This window comes from Homo sapiens, chromosome 3 (genome assembly GCF_000001405.40).
Source record: "Homo sapiens chromosome 3, GRCh38.p14 Primary Assembly".
In the NCBI taxonomy this organism is placed as follows: Eukaryota; Metazoa; Chordata; class Mammalia; order Primates; family Hominidae; genus Homo; species Homo sapiens.
Window position 1 is genome coordinate 188,873,845 of NC_000003.12, and position 17,222 is coordinate 188,891,066.

General features: G+C 38.1%; 1 protein-coding gene across 50 annotated transcripts in view, besides 2 other annotated features; it reads left to right on the top strand.

Annotated features, from left to right (window-relative positions):
- The window catches only part of LPP (LIM domain containing preferred translocation partner in lipoma), a 737,651-nt gene extending 720,824 nt beyond the window's left edge, over positions 1-16,827 (top strand). For all 50 annotated transcript variants that reach the window (NR_164692.1, XM_047448103.1, NM_001375457.1 and 47 more), the window contains one exon: positions 507-16,827. Coding sequence is in view for 49 of the 50 variants with exons in the window: in XM_047448103.1 (XP_047304059.1) it covers positions 507-635 (129 nt within the window). In the remaining variant the exon portion in view is untranslated. The remainder of the gene's footprint in view (positions 1-506) is intronic.
- Positions 8,521-9,022: an enhancer, noted in NCBI's record as "H3K4me1 hESC enhancer chr3:188600153-188600654 (GRCh37/hg19 assembly coordinates)". NCBI's record gives its function as "activates a minimal SCP1, AML or CMV promoter by ChIP-STARR-seq in primed H9 embryonic stem cells {active_cell/tissue: H9 hESC(primed)}" and the evidence as "EXISTENCE:reporter gene assay evidence [ECO:0000049][PMID:30033119]".
- Positions 9,023-9,522: an enhancer, noted in NCBI's record as "H3K4me1 hESC enhancer chr3:188600655-188601154 (GRCh37/hg19 assembly coordinates)". NCBI's record gives its function as "activates a minimal SCP1, AML or CMV promoter by ChIP-STARR-seq in primed H9 embryonic stem cells {active_cell/tissue: H9 hESC(primed)}" and the evidence as "EXISTENCE:reporter gene assay evidence [ECO:0000049][PMID:30033119]".

A 17,222-nucleotide genomic window follows, 5' to 3' on the forward strand; every position in this document is an offset into this window, starting at 1 on the left:
TACACCGAACCCACTGGTGGCCCTTCTGCTTGGCAGACATCAGTCTACCTTTGCTCTAGGCCAGAAATGGCCAAAACATTCCATTCCTGTACCTGTGCATGCATTTTGAGAGATCCTTAAACTAATGGTAAAGGGTAAAAAATGCATCGGTGGTTAGGGACATTCTTATTTTCTCTTGTTGAGTGGGGGCAGCAAACTTCTACATGGGAGCCAAGATGGGTGGCCTCTTCTCTTCTTATACCTGTATTTCATATCAAGTGAGCTTAGGAGGATTATATTTATGTCCATTTATATTTATGTCCCCAATCTCTAATTCAATTACATTCAAGATATACTATGTTATATATTGGGAGAAAGGATACAGGGGATTAGCAGAATGTAAAGCAGGAAGGATAGTAAGTGGCCACATTATGGAGGCCTTGAATAGAAAGCTCAATCATGATGTTCTCCACATGTGTACTTAACGTTTTTACTTATGTCGTTTCCATCTGTCTTTACTGTTCTAGGATTGCGGTGGTCTCCTGTCTGAAGGAGATAACCAAGGCTGCTACCCCTTGGATGGGCACATCCTCTGCAAGACCTGCAACTCTGCCCGCATCAGGGTGTTGACCGCCAAGGCGAGCACTGACCTTTAGATTCAGTCACCTGTTCAGCCGGCACTGAGAAGAACGAACACAAGAAAAAGATAAGAAATACTAGAGTAAAGGCCATCAAACTACGCGATAGTCTCTGTTCTTCATCTGCTATTAACCTTGCCTTAGAAACACATAAATTATGAGATTTTTTTTAAAAGTTGTTACCAAATACACATTTCACATTGAATCATGTAGGATCTTGATGGGCCTTTGTTCCCAAGGACTTCCACATTTTTGCACAGATTATGCTCCATCCCATTCACTTCTGCATTCCTGTAACTTTTAATCCCTATGTTTGTCTCACTTTTCATCTGGTTGAATGGCTTTTCTTAGTGTGGTATTTGCTGTCACATAGTTTTTCCTGGGTGAGTCTGCCAACTCACAGGTGCTTTTAGGCTTGAAATCTCCATCCTATCATTTCCGTTTTGCCTGTGACTGTAAAGAGTAGCCATTCTTTTCCCATGTATTGAAGAGGATATTCTTCTCTTGCTTTATACTACTCACGTCCTTGGGGAGGGAAATGCACAATTTTTTTTTGTTAGGCTGTAAAGAATTTAAGCTGTAAATTACATAAGTTAGAACAAGCCCAAATTTAATTTGCAACCATCAGAATTCAGAATCTATAGTGACCAGTGATCAAGGCTAATTGGAAAAGAGTTATCGGCCCATAGCTAATAAGTAGTGACAGACAACCAAGCTTCAATATTTTTCTAAAGAAATTACAGGTGGGATATGCTAGAAAAGGCATTTTGGGGTTATGTTTAAAAAAACATTATTGTCCCACAATATTACCTTAAGATTTTTCTTTTCCGCACTACCTGAACATTGTAATACAGACAAACTTGATTTCTTCTAGAAGATAACATTTTCAATACTGTCCCACTTCTCATCTTAAAAATATTGTCATGTTTATTCTAATATCCAACACAACTATCAAAATTGCCTTTTTCTCTAGAGGATGAAGGCTGTGAAAAAACCGTTCAAATTCTCTTCTTTTTCTTTTTTATTACCAGGTCCATTTTGCCTGACAATTGCAAATCAGAGCATACAAAATAAAACTGTGCAGTTTTGTTTGGTTTACTTTCAAAAGAGTAGAAAGCTTGAAAAGATTCTGAAACCACAGTTTCATTATTCTCATAATCCTTCTGCAACTGAAATTACATATTGCAGGAGACATTTTCATATCATCAATGTGACATTTACACCACACTTTCAAAGACAATCACTGAAACAAAAATTGTCTTTATGAGCTAAAAATATGCAGAATCTCTGCCTAGAATCTTTATTCAAACTTTTATTAGCCAGTGAAACACTTGCTTGCCAACTGCCAAGCCATACTTATTAAGTTCGAACATGTTTCACTTAAGGAGAGACACCTAGCTTAGTCATGGCAAGTTGCCATTTTGTAAACTAAGGATTTTGGACTGAGATTTCTTAAATCTTTCTTCAAATCTCCCACAAGTATATACTTTTAAATTATGGAGTATTTTAAGTCTACAAAAAGGTATAAATAATAATATAATGAATTCCTATATACCTAATACCCAGTTTAAGACACCAAATATAACAAGTATAATTACATCCTCCAATGTACCGTTTCCTTATTCCACAGATATCTTTTTCATTATTGTGAAGTGATGTTCAGATTTCTAGTTTTTTTTCTAGTTTTTAATTTTAACATCAGAACTGAAATAAAAAATTATGGATACGTGTTTTGAATTGCAAACTATTCCTCAGGAATTCCAATTAAATTTATTTTACTTGAATAGGAATGATCATAAAAGTGATTCTTTTTTTGTGACTAGAAATTCTTAAGCCGATGGTCACTATAGCTCATCCTTAATGTATGGCTCATTTGCTTTTGTCACTAAACGGTTTTGTGTTAGAACCACCAAAATTATAGCTTTTAAGAGCTTCCTTTGACCACTGTCTTTTTCTTACCCTAGTTCTCTTATCTTTGATCGTATATTTCTCATAATGTGAAATATGATGAGATTCACTTAGGGGCAGCATGTTAGTTTTGGGAGGCAATGTCAACTGTGTCTCTGAATTCCTGTCTTCCAAATTGAAGCCAGACCATGCTGATGACCTCAAGTAGCACTGACTATTTGACAATAGGGCTGATAATGTAATCGGCTTGAATTTTGACTTAGTAACTTTTTATGTAATACTTTCGGAGAAATTCTCTTTAGGACAAAGCAGAGAGTCCAATTTATTGAGGGATAGATTGTATCTCTTAAAGTGGTCATATTATTATTAATTTTGCCAAAAGAAGAAGAATTTATTGAATATTTATACTATAAAATGCAGTAACATTCTACTTGCTTATTACATTTAAATCCTTGTGTAACTGAATGTTTACATGTCAAGAGGAAAAGCTGTAAGAAAATGCTGTCACAGACCCATCCCTGTGGCATCGTCAGCAGAATACTGCTTGCTTACAATCTTTATTATGCATTCTTATAACATAACCTCAGAGTATCTTTACCAAAGGTTTTTAAAGTAAATCTCTTTTTAAGATAGACTTATTCTTTTATAATAATGAATGTGCACTCATACATATGTAGAAACATTTAGATTTAGAGTTTTTTTTTTCTTTCACAAGGTATAATAAGGAAAGGATCCTACAATATTTTATTCTAGGGTTTCTTAAATATATGATTTATATTACTGTCTTTTCTATTAATCATTTGATTTAAACAATGCCAAGTCACTCTTTTTTAGTTGCATGAAATTTTGCCTGCAACAGAGAGAAAAAGATTGTATTACTTTAATGATTATAATCATACTGTCTGCTGATATAATATCATAATTGTTGTGGTTTAAATACATAAATAGTAGAAAAATCAGAGTCTATAACAGAAAGTTTGTAAAAATATACTGATTTTGAAAAGTATCAGGAATATAAATATTTGGTAATTCTGTGTAACAAGAGAGACATGGAAAAGGAAAAAAATCCACTATATCATGGGCTCTGCAGAACATATCAAAATAGGATTTCTTAAATTTTTCAACCCCCAGACCATACTGACTCAACATGGAGTCTCACTGGCCAAGAAAATTGCCTTTAAAACTCGAAAATAAGGCCAGGTGTGGTGACTCACACTTGTAATCCCAGCAATTTGGGAGGCTGAGACAGGAGGATTGCCTGAGGCCAGGAGTTTGACACCAGCCTGGGCAACATAGTGAGACCTTGTCTCTACAAAAAATAAAATAAAATAAAAACCAAATTAGCCAGACATGGTGGCATGCGCTTGTTTAAAAAAACAAATAAATAAATAATCGACTCAAAAATAAGTCATGTGTCCCAGCATAAGGCATCAGGTTGTTAGATGCTGGCATCTCTGCAGCTCAAAGATGTGGGTTCTTTTTCTTGTCATTAACACATTGTTATTTCTGTAGGAGCAACTTCTCTGATCAAAATTACTTTTCTGGGTATGTGCTGATTAAGGGGGTGGACTTATCAACACTATAATTGTTCCCTATGAAAGATTCCACAGAGATGTTTATGGTGAGGTTTAAAGGATATGAAACTCTACATTTAAACAAGTATTTTATATTTGGGTACAGAGGAAGAAAGAGAGGGCTTTTTCCATGGGGCTATAGTAGAGAGTTAGTGGAATATAGACAGGACTCTGAAAACACAACTTCCAGCCATTTTTTTAGTTAGTAAAAATCCTATTAATGTGAACCAGCCAGGAATAACAGTGTTATTTCTATTGGATATGGTTTGGGCTTCTCTTGTCAAATCTGTGTCGGCTGCCCCCTGATCCTTCCATTATCAAGTTTTGAAGGGTGTTGGGGAAATTATGGCAGCTGCTAGGGAGATCAGGGAAACACTGATGTAACCTCAAAGCCTCTCACCATTCCTCTTGGCTTGGAAAGGCTTTATTTTTTCATATACATTTCTAGAAATATTGCTATTCTACCTTAGTATTTCACATTTGTAGTTCAAACAAGCGATTGTCCATCTGTTGCCTAGAGCTATAGTACATGTGTGTTATGAATGAAATATGACAGCATGTTCCATACCCCTGCTTTAGCCATCTGTGGGAAACCAGCAAACTGAAAAAGACACCTCTGCAAAATGTGCCTCAAGTCCATTTCTTGGGATCGCTCGTTTGGTGCACTCTCGTGGGAGACAATCAGAGAACAACATATACTTGTGCCTTATTTTCAAAGAATCTATTTACACTACTATGAATATTCCACTGAAGAGTCAATGATGTAAATGATAACCACCAAATCTCAAAAATATACTCACCAAAAAGTAAAAAAGTAAAAAAAAAAAAAAAAGAAAGAAAGAAAAGAAAGAGAGAGAAGTCAACTTTTCATCTTAATATATTCTAGTAGTATTTATTTTTTCCTTGTCTTGGAAGTATCTCATAGGTCTTTAAATGAGTAAAACATTTTTATGCCAGAAGGTGATATAATGGATGTTAGTGTTTTTTATTTGATTTTACAGTAGTTTTAGTCAGATAATGAGGACAGAGACTTCAACTTGATTCTTTACCACCATTCAGCATATTTTTTAATTGTCTTCATTGTATTTGCTTAATAGTGGTCCAGACAAGTTCAAAACTTGTTCTCAGTGAGGCATTAATATGGTGCAACCATGAATATTTCAGGCCAAGTTATTCACTTGACAGATAACTAGAATGAAACTTTTCTCATGAGGCTGTTGTTTGGTTAGCATAGCCTTATTTCAAACCTTAAAAAGTTACCTGACTGAAGCTACTATGACTTGGTAAGGATTCTTCCTCTCTTGCTTTCTTCCTCCCTTCCTTTCTTCCTCTTCCTTCCTCCTCTTCTTATTTTCTTTCCTACTTTCCATCCTACCTATTAGTGTTGCTGTACTTGGATTTTTTGTAAATTAAATCAATGCATTATGATTTTAGGGAATTATGATTATATTCATAAGGGGAAGGCTACCAGAAAATATATGTGGCATCCATAAAATCTTCTTTTATAGGGGCATATTTTTTAGGTTGTATTTATTCGTAAAGTGAAATGAGATAATAGAGTCTTTCTGTTTCATGTTAATGAATTTTCATCAGGGACTGAGGTCATAGATTCTTGGAAAATTCATTTGTGACTGATCTAGTTTTCTCAGCTGTATGCAAAGTAATCTTTCAAAGACTAGGTTAAGATTTTTTTTTTAAGTCTGAAGCAATGTAACCCCAAAAAATTATAATTTTAATGATGGCATTTTATTTTATTCCATTGCAGCTTGATAACTTTCCTTATAGCAAAGGAATAACTATTGTATTTTCAGAATTTTAACACAGATTAACACTTAGCCTGTAAGACTAATAATATATTGTAATAGTTGATACTAAAATATTTTTCAGCAGGTTGGACAGCACCAGTTTTTCTTAGATCACAGACTACAGGCAGAATTTCCCTTCAATCCAGAAAAAAGGACACTAATTTCCTTTTCTATTTAATTTTCCTGGCCCTTGTGCAAAAAATTGTGGACTCTATCTTAGTTACAACATGCATGTCCCTTATTTTGTGGAGAGCTGTGTGAAAGATGCGTTTTTTTTCTTTTTTTCTTTTTTTTTTTTTTGAGACGGAGTCTGGCTCTGTCACCCAGGCTGGAGTGCAATGGCACGATCTCCTCTCACTGCAAGCTCCGCCTCCCAGGTTCACGCCATTCTCCTGTCTCAGCCTCCCGAGTAGCTGGGACTACAGGCGCCTGCCACCACGCCCGGCTAATTTTTTTGTATTTTTAGTAGAGATGGAGTTTCACAGTGTTAGCCAGGATGGCCTCGATCTCCTGACCTCGTGATCCACCCGCCTCGGCCTCCCAAAGTGCTGGGATTACAGGCGTGAGCCACCGTGCCCCGCGTGTTTTTTTCTTTAGCTGATTGACAGGTCCCCTTCAAAGTTACAAAAAAAAGTGCTAATTTTTGCTGTTAAATTCTGGTTGTTATTTAATTGACAGAAGTCTCTTGATGCACGAATAAATATCTCTACATCTAGCCTTTGTTAAAAATAAAAATTAATATTCTACAAACACCTACATATACTAGAGAGGGGTGAAACACTGCAGCTAATTCCTTTATAATACTTTCAGATGATTGCATTAAGCCTTTCATGTTATGTGGCATTGTTAATTTTTCCTAGATACCCATCCACTTAAGGGCCAGAGAAATCCTTATTCATTTAACTCTGGTGGGCATTTATGTAACATACCCAAATAAAAACGTTATTAAACAGCCACAATCGCATTCAGTCAACTTGGCACTGAATGTAGCTTCTAAAATCAGTTCTCTACCCTACGAATGGAATGTTCTACCAAGAAAGAGAAGCATCACCATGTCATCTTGTGTTCTACACCACTATAGAGAGTTACAGTTGCCCCCAAACACGAATGCTATTCCCAAATAAAATAGAATCATGCTTTGGGAGGCCAAGGCGGGCCGATCACGAGGTCAGGAGATCGAGACCATCCTGGCTAACACGGTGAAACCCCGTCTCTACTAAAAAAAAAAAAAAATACAAAAAATTAGCCTGGCTCAGTGGCGGGCGCCTGTAGTCCCAGCTACTCAGGAGGCTGAGGCAGGAGAATGGCGTGAACCCGGGAAGCGGAGCTTTCAGTGAGCCGAGATAGCGCCACTGCAGTCCGGCCTGGGCGAAAGAGCGAGACTCCGTCTCAAAAAAAAAAAAAAAAAAATAGGATCATGGCCCTTTTAAAGATCTGAATCTTCTCTGTTATTTTCCTGATGAATCACCATCCCATATCTTCTTAGTCCTGGCCAGTATGTAGTTGCGCTCACATACGTCTATTCTAGCTCTGTAGCTCCACAAAACAAGTCTTAAGTCCAAATCTTTGCCTCTTCATGTCTGATATCACCAACTCATTCAGCTTTTCTTCACTTATTGACATAGTGTCATGTCCTATCACTCTCTGCTGCTTCTTTAAACAGTGGACACAAACATATTTTCTAATTTTCAGTGTACTCAGTGAAACTTGGCAGTTCACCATGAGTCAGGCTAGGTTGAAAGGCTTTCTTTAGGGTTGAAAGTAAACGAAATTGGAATCACCCAAAGAGAATTTCCCCAAAAAACCTCAGACCCAGAAGTGTAAAAGCTACAGAAGGATAGAACTCCCATGTCTACAGACAGTTCTGTTACTTTTTGTTCTGTACTATTTTGGATGTTGCCAAAATCAAATTCATCCTGAAAACAGGAAGCAAGCTAATGCATATGCCATCCATGAGATTCCCACTTCTGGGTCAGTTCATATTCCATTCAACCTTTTCCTTTTATCCTTGTCTTCTTCAGAATAAGACATTTTTCCTCCATATTTTCATATTAAATATTAACACTTTATAGGTTCTACTTTAATATATGGACACTTTACAGGTTATACATAAATATTTGCTGGTTGATTGATTTCGAGATTCATTCATTCTGTGCTCAAATATTTGTACCTAGAGACGTTACATGTTAGAAAAAGTGAGCAGCTTCTTTCTCTAATCATTTAGGAGTCCATATTTTTCTTTTCTTTTTGTTCTCCCAACATCCTTATCTCTTACTCAGCTCTTCAATTTATAATTACCAAATAATCACTGTTAGAGAATCAGCCCCTAAGTAACTTTGATTCTGGCCAACTGTAATAAGATCCAACCACTTAAATCTGTACTTACTCAATAGGAAGGAATGTGACATCAGGAAGAGTCATTCCAGTGACATTAGTAAGACTTTATGGAGTACATAAAATTTGATAAGAAATCTTGAGCTGATTCTTTGACTTGATTTAGAAGTTGAGAAAAGAGTATTTAAGGCACAACAGGGAAACATGGGCTATACTCAGAGAAGACCCTCTGCATTGGCCAAAATATCATGGATTCTGGAAATTCCTTCTTAACAGAAAAAAAAGGCTTCCAAATAATCAGGCTGAATGGGAAGAAAAAGGCATAGAGGAAGCCTGAGGAAGTATTTACTTGCTTTTCCCATCTCTTTATAATTGGAAGAGAAGATGATCTGCCAAAATATAACCCAGCATGCACAGTATGGACAGGAAGCAGCCCTCCATGAACTTTATTATCACAGAATATGAGCATTCTTATTGATCCACAGCTACATCTTCTATTCTTGCAGCAAGGGTACATGTCCTTTGACCCTCCACAAAAGAACAAGCAGGACATCTCTATTTTCCTATTGAGTCTGAGTCCATTATTAGAAAGGACTTCCCAGCCATCTTTTCTACTTGGTATTAAAATTCCCTTACAGATTCATTGCTAAGTGCCAATTCTTTTTTTTTCTTTTGAGACGGAGTCTTGCTCTGTCGCCCAGGCTGGAGTGCAGTGGCGCAATCTCGGCTCACTGCAAGCTCCGCTTCTCGGGTTCACGCCATTCTCCTGCCTCAGCCTCCCGAGTAGCTGGGACTACAGACGCCCGCCACCGCGCCCAGCTAATTTTTTTTGTACTTTTAGTAGAGACGGGGTTTCACCGTGGTCTCGATCTCCTGACCTCGTGATCCGCCCGCCTCGGCCTCCCAAAGTGCCAATTCTGACTCTACTTAAACATCACCTGTATCAGGGAGCTCATTATTCCTTGAGGTCTTACATTTCTTTCAGCACATTTTGTTCCAAGCTACACGACTTTAAAACAGAGCCAGCCTTTGGGGCATATGTTCTCTTTGGTGCCACACAAAACCTGTAGTACATGATACAGTGTTGCTTCCCCCCTCCTTTTCCTTCCATATATATTTGTTTTGTTTTGGGCATTGCATTACTTTTTTGAATTTTTAAGAATCTCTAAAATTAGTCTGAAGGATGTTCTGAGGGCCAGACATTAGAATTTGTGAGTTTTTTTGTTGCTGGTTGTACTTTCCTATTTAGAAGACAGACCGTTCTGACAGTTGTTGTGTAGCTTCATGCCTTCCCCAGTAACTAACCCATGAACAGTACACCCCTTTTATCTGACTTGTTGATAATGACCTTAAAAATGTTAGGAAATGGGCCGGGCGCGGTGGCTCGTGCCTGTAATCCAGCACTTTGGGAGGCCGAGGCGAGCGGATCATGAGGTCAAGAGATCGAGACCATCCTGGTCAACATGGTGAAACCCCGACTCTACTAAAAAAAATACAAAAATTAGCCGGGCGTGTTGGCGGGCGCCTGTAGTCCCAACTACTTGGGAGGCTGAGGCAGGAGAATCACCTGAACCCAGGAGGCAGAGGTTGCAGTGAGCAGAGATTGCGCCACTGCACTCCAGCCTGGGCGACAGAACGAGACTCCGTCTCAAAAAAAAAAAAAAAAAAAAAAGGTTGGGAAATATTGGTGTATAATCCCCATGTCTAACAAGGAAGAAGTCAAAAGCAAAAGATAGTGGTATTGCCGAAAACTCATTATTTCTAGTTAGTTCATCTGTGGAAAAGGATATCGTTCTTGAGGAGAGGGGTTCTATTATGCTATAGTTTTCTATGGAAATGTACAAATGCTTTCCTCATTGCTCTGGATGACTATTTAGTTTAAATAATATACCTTTGTCATGGGGAAGACCATGATTGTGGCTTCTTCTACCCCAACTTTGAATGAGAGAGCACTGTAAGCAGAAACTGCCATCAGTCTCCTGGGCAGGACCTGGAGGTAACTTTCTGAGCTGTAAAATAGTAATTCCTAAGAGAGCTTACAAACTGCTTCCACACAGAAAATAGCGCAGGGAGGACAGTTATTAGTACCCCTATTCTAGAAGAGAAAGCTGAGGCTCAAGCCATTAAGTGACTTGCCAAAAGCTGTGACATAGCTGGGAAGTGGCAGATTTGGGGATATAACCAGGTCTTGCAAGTCCAGTGCTGTCTCCAAGTAGCCACGCTCACAGCTGAGAACACCTTAGAGGACAATATCGACTTCTTACAGACTACCAAGCCCCCAGTCATCCAGGGAAATTCAGAGACCAATTGACTGCCAGGTGGCAAATCCACATGTGTACTGCGGTCTTTAGAGATCATTTAGAGCTTGCACACATCTGTGTCTTCTTGTGGGAAACCTCTAGGTATTCTGTCTGATCAGCACTGTGAGGAAGTTGGTGGGAAAAGGCCACTGATAAGAACAAACAATGGGCAGAAGGAAGCACATTGCAATAAATTTCCCCAGAGAGAGTTCCTTTACATTCCATTCACCAAAAACCTCTCTGGAACTGTCAGGTTCAGAATATCAACCAAGACCATATCATTTAGAATTCATTGGCATGTAGAGGTGACTCGATTCCTAAAAGAAGCCTCTCTCCCATGAACCACGATGTACGTTCCACAGAGGCAGAAACCGCCGTAGGTTAGCAATGCATTTTAGTCTTTCTCTCCATTCACATTTACTGAGAGCACACCACGTGCATGTTGCTGCAACAGGCATTTCCGATAGAGCCGATCCATGAGCTAACAATGTCTGAAAACAAATGTTATGGAACTGTTGGCATTTCTGAGATTTGGCCTTTGCCATTTGATAGACTTTGCTTCCCAGGATGCTGTCATTTTGTGATTTTTTATAATTACAAGGAATTTGGTACCATGTTGTTTTCAAAAAACCTCCTAGAAAGTCTCCATGTATGCTCTAGAAGTTGCTCTACGTAACAGTTCAGCAAGCAAGTGTTCCTTCTCTTGAGCTGCGTCCCTCAGGAAGCTGTACCTTTAGGGTGTGCTTTCCACTTTTTATTTCCTCTCATTTCACTCCTTTCATTGTTTGCTATATCCTAAAATATGTGAAGTGAGAGAAAAAATATCATTTCTTCTCATTAAATCTCCTGCATTAAATCTAAGAATCCTTTAAAATAATCACACCTGATAAGTGTTTTATGCATTTCCCTCCCTGGAGTGTTATCATCCATCAAGCCAGTATCATCATCCACCTGCTTATTCCTTGGGACTAATGAGAGCCAAGTTAAATAGCAAATGACTTCTCACCCCTTCCTAGTCCTCATGCCTGAGGAATAAGGGCGACATTAATGGGAGCGGGAGAGTGGTGGCTTTGGTTGAGATGCACGTTCACAGACTAGAAAAGTGCCTCACCTCCATGGTGTATATGTGCCACCTTTTCTTAATCCAGTCTATCATTGTTGGACATTTGGGTTGGTTCCAAGTCTTTGCTATTGTGAATAGTGCCGCAATAAACATAAGTGTGCATGTGTCTTTATAGCAGCATGATTTATAATCCTTTGGGTATATACCCAGTAATGGGATGGCTGGGTCAAATGGTATTTCTAGTTCTAGATCCCTGAGGAATCTCCACACTGACTTCCACAATGGTTGAACTAGTTCACAGTCCCACCAACAGTGTAAAAGTGTTCTTATTTCTCCACATCCTCTCCAGCACCTGTTGTTTCCTGACTTTTTAATGATTGCCATTCTAACTGGTGTGAGATGGTATCTCATAGTGGTTTTGATTTGCATTTCTCTGATGGCCAGTGATGGTGAGCATTTTTTCATGTGTTTCTTGGCTGCATAAATGTCTTCTTTTGAGAAGTGTCTGTTCAATACTATGCAGCCATAAAAAATGATGAGTTCATGTCCTTTGTAGGGACATGGATGAAATTGGAAATCATCATTCTCAGTAAACTATCTCAAGGACAAAAAACCAAACACCACATGTTCTCACTCACAGGTGGGAATTGAACAATGAGAACACATGGACACAGGAAGGGGAACATCACACTCTGGGGACTGTTGTGGGGTGGAGGGAGGAGGGAGGGATAGCATTAGGAGATATACCTAATGCTAAATGACGAGTTAATGGGTGCAGCACACCAGCATGGCACATGTATACATATGTAACTAACCTGCACATTGTGCACATGTACCCTAAAACTTAAAGTATAATAATAATGAAATAAAATTAAAAAAAAAAAAGAAAAGTGCCTCACCTCCCTGTGAGGCTTGATGAATATTGTGGCCAGTGAGTGGAAAATGATTCTTGTCGAATAGACAGAGTATTCCCACCCCAGGAATGGATTAATAGAAGACACAATTTGAGCACTTCTCAGAATTATCTAGTATGCCTGAGTAGAGACTCACATGGGTGGAATCTGTGTTGTCTCATCAGAGGGAATAAAAAGACAATGAGGTGGTAAATGTGAAAAAAGCAGCCTTTTAGAAAAACATTATTTTCAAATACCTTTATAAATCATCTAATTTATCTTCACATAATATAAAGAAAAAACTAATAAAAATTTTCGTATTTCACTTTACATAATATGTTCTCCCATATTTAGGGATCATACAATTGTATTGTCTTCAAAACACACACACACACACATACACACACACACACACACACACACACACCCCTTCCAAGAAAGCTGATCCTTCAGAAAATAAATCTTATTTTTAAGCACTTGGGTTTTCAGGCCAGAAAATTAATAAATCCTAAACCTGACCCATTTTTGTAACAGCTAAAAAGGAGAAGAAAAAGCTAGTTAAATTTTGTGTGGATCCATTTATCTCTTAAAATATGCCAAAGCAATTTGAGGTGGGGGTGGAAACAGGTATTTATCTCTCATGCGTGATTCTCTCTTTATATTTCTATCTGTTGGGAAAAGGGTAAAGAACTATTCTTGGTCATTATTGATGTATTGTGTTGCCACTTTGTATGGTGCCTGCTGTGCTTTATCCCGAGGCATAGCAGTAATCGTTACTATCTTGACTCTTTCCTTCATCACAAGAGAGTAAATATGAAGTCTGAATGTCGTTCCTCACCCCCAAATTGTTTAACTCTGCTTCCAAACTAGTTTAAGAAATGCAAAATGGGAAGAGCTAGCTTTTCTTAGATACATTTCTTCCTTTTTTATTCTTTCTTGGGAGACGTTAAGTATAAAAGGGAAAAAGTCAGTTCCTTCTTCTCTCTCTTTCTCTTTGGGTGACAGCAATGCTCACTTAGTAATTATAAACTGGAAATAGGAGAGTAGCTTGAGCAGGTTATGATATATCTGCCCAATGTGTTTCATTCCTTCAAACATAAACTTTGAGAGTAAAAGAGATTTTTATAATTTAAATGCCAACGACAGGAATGGCCTCATGTTTTAACTTTCAAATAATAAATGGGGAGTTGGTATTTGGGCAGAGTTTGCATTTTACTAATCCTATATACTTTGAGCTTAGTTTTTAGAATTGTGTCAAATACATCAACATATCAGGATTATAGTGCCAAAAATAGTTAAAGTGCCTTGGTCCTCCCTCTGTAGGCAGCAAATTGAAACTAACATGGGACCATGCCATCCTTCTAGCATAATGGAGAAGTCTGAACTGAGGAGTATCTTTGATGAAAGACATTTAGGACCCTAGAAACTAAATCTTGTCACCAAGACTTTATAGTAAAGTAGTAGCAAAATTATTTTTAAAAGACTTTCTTCCTTTTACTACCCATTTCCTCTCTTGGGAAAGCTGATGAGCAAATTATCCAAGACTCATTTCTTTATTAGGCAAAGTCAGAATATTTCCCCTCTGAAAATCTGAATTATGCCCTCATTCTTTTTCAAGAAATATCTCAAAGAGCAAATAGAATTAAACATGACACTTGATTGTCTGATTATTTGGCATGTATAAAATTATCATGTGGCTTAATGTGCCTTAAGTGAAAATTTAAACTTAGACCTGAAACCTTTACAGTTGGATGTAGCGTTGAGCTTTTGCATGTTTTCTGTATAATAAACCACTTTTGTTTTGTTTGTTTTGTCTTTTAACCTACACCTTTATCATTACTCTAACAGATTTAGGGCTTCTCTTTCTCTACAGCTAAGTAAGGGAATATGTGCAATTATGAGACATACAAAAAAGGAAAGGGAAAGGACTTTCTAAGTAGCAAATCTGTGCCATGAAGTAGATGTGGCGTGAAGATACAGAGCCTGAGGATAGTAATTTTCCCTGAGCCACGCACACAGGCTTTTATTTCATGCCTTTTCTCTTTCTGTGCCGTCACCTTTGAGAAAAACGATTGCACCTTCTCCAAGTCTGCCTTTTTAACAGCTACAGTTAAGTTGGCAAGACTTCCCCAGCTCTGAATATAGCCATTTGCCGACTCCGGCCTCTTTGCGAGACTGACTCAAATCTGTGATCTTCTGTTCAGCATACACATCAGCAAAGTGAGAAGATGAGCACTAAATATAGGCTCTATTAACTTTACTTTTAGATTTACTGCCTTCAAAAAGTGCCTATTCTGAGCAACATAAACGTTATTCCTTACATATGTATGTACACACGGTACCCAGAGTCGTACTGTGCAGCCTTCAAAAACATACCATCAGAAAGAGTAGGTGCTGAGATAAGGAAACTTTGCCAAATGAAAGAAAGTCACTCACTTCCAATATCCCCTCTCAAGCGGCTACCGTGAAACGGGCTGCAAACACATTCCCTGAGCATCCCTTGCTGATACAGCTTCTTTATATTTATATCCTACTGGATGGTAGCATATTGCTAAGGTTTCCTGTACTCTGCTTCAAGGGAATGTAAGCTTTATGGCATTGAAACATTTAGGGAAAAAAAAGATGTTTAAGAGAATTAATAGAGCCGTAGTCTGTATTAGGATGTGTGTCATATGTGTGTTCTATAAACTAAGCATCGGTGGGTTTAGAGTGTTAAAGTGTCAGCACATTCCTTCTCCTTTTGTCTCTCAGGCTAACATGAGAGAAAATAGAAAAGTCTTGGCTGTGGGGATTGGAAGCTCAGGGGGCCAAATGTCCTTGCCAGATCCTTAGAGCATTACTTTGACTCCTAAAAATAGTAGTGTATGTTATTTGATGGCTTTTGTTTCCATAGTTCCATCACTGACAAAACTGTCAATACTGTTGATGGAGCAGCAGCATAGCCTAGAGTGATGCATTCTTACCCAGAGGTGGCAATAGGAGAGGGTCCATGTAAATAGGACGAGGTAGACAGTGCATGATTGTAGGAGAAGGGTTGAAGGGAGGACATGATTCCAAAAAAGATCGTTCTCAATGTGTCGTCTGACTCAACCAGCTGGCAGATTACACTTGCCAAGTCGTTCCCTTTCCTTCTAAGTCAGTTGGCTCCATATTCACTTGAATATGCCTCTGTTTGGGCAAAGCAAGATACCTCCACTTAACCTTTATCCAAGGAAGCTCTTGGTGTCCTCTTGGTCATAAAGTTGTCTCCTACCTAACCCAGTTTTACCAAATGGAAGTAAAAGGGGACAAACTATGGAAGATGGACTCCATGCCATTGCAGTCAGCCACCATTCTCTTTTCCATATAAGGAGCCCCATTACATAAGCTACGGGTGAGGTTGGAACAGCTATGTTTCATAATTTCAAGAGTGTGACCACCCTGCTCTAGTCATCATCATTGGATGAATCCAGTTGACTCTTTGGCAAAAGGGTGATACTTTTCACTAAAAATGCCTACTCTTCCTGTTGATGTTCCTTTTCTGTTTTTACCTTGTCCAATTTCCACACTAGTCATTTTTTTTATTTTTTAGAGGATCAGATTTTAGCGCTGGAAAATGAGTTCAAAAATTTCAGTGTAATGTCATAAGGATGTTGGGATACAGAGATTTTTTTTTTCCTTGGAAACAAATGGACTGGGAAGAAACACAGCATGGCTTTGCTCTGAGTTTCAATCTGATGATTATGACCATGGAAGATAGTCTTATGTAAAGGTTAAATGGTGTTTACAAGTGGATAGATAAGGCGGAGATGGTGAGAAGCCGGGTTTTCTCTATGCTAAATGTGTCTACTAAGAGCAGCACTTCCTACTAGCTAAGCACAATCATAGCCCCACCGTGATGAGCTGCTAGTCTGAATAACATTCCCTGACTTAGGGAAAGGCACACAAAAACATATAAAGAATATGTCTATTTTCATATGTGTGATACTGACAGAGCCATGGTATTCCTAAAATATAGGTTTCTCTTTTTTCTTGTATTCTTAGCAAATTGCATTTATTCACTACATTACAAACCATCACTGATGTATCCAAAATAGCACACATAGTTCAGTATGAAAATAAGAGAATAAAATCTGTTATAAGCAAGTGATTTAGGTATTTTCTTTTGTGTTTATGCATTATCTGACTATATTAAAACCTGTTTTTCTATTTACCTTCTATCAGTTTTCTCTACCAATTATGTTTTTTCAATGCTCTATAAGAATGAATATGGAAATTATATTTCTTTTTTCTGTAAAAGAGTTGCAACTACTTTATTATATTTAGAAATCCAATAAACTTCTTATTACATTTACTTGCCTATGTGTGGAATTCTTTTTGAGTTGGATAATCTCTGTTTCCTTTTCTTCTAACCCCCTTTACTGTGTGACTCATTTTTTACATCATTTGCTTTCCATATGGTCTTCTGAGAAACGGAATATCTCTCATAGCAAATATGGTGCCACAAGAGTATGAAAGCACCCACTCTCTTCCACTGTTAGCACAGAAGAACTTAAGGTCAGAGGTGTTCTAAAATTATTTGACCACTCTGTGTCTTGACCTTGCAAAGACATTTTCATTTTTAAAGCTGGATCCAAGTAAATGGGTCCCTTAGGGTGGGGTTGGGGTTCTCCATTTTCATCACAAACAAGTGGCTGACTTGTTCATACTTTTATTCCATCTGTATTACGCATGCTTTTCAAACATTGA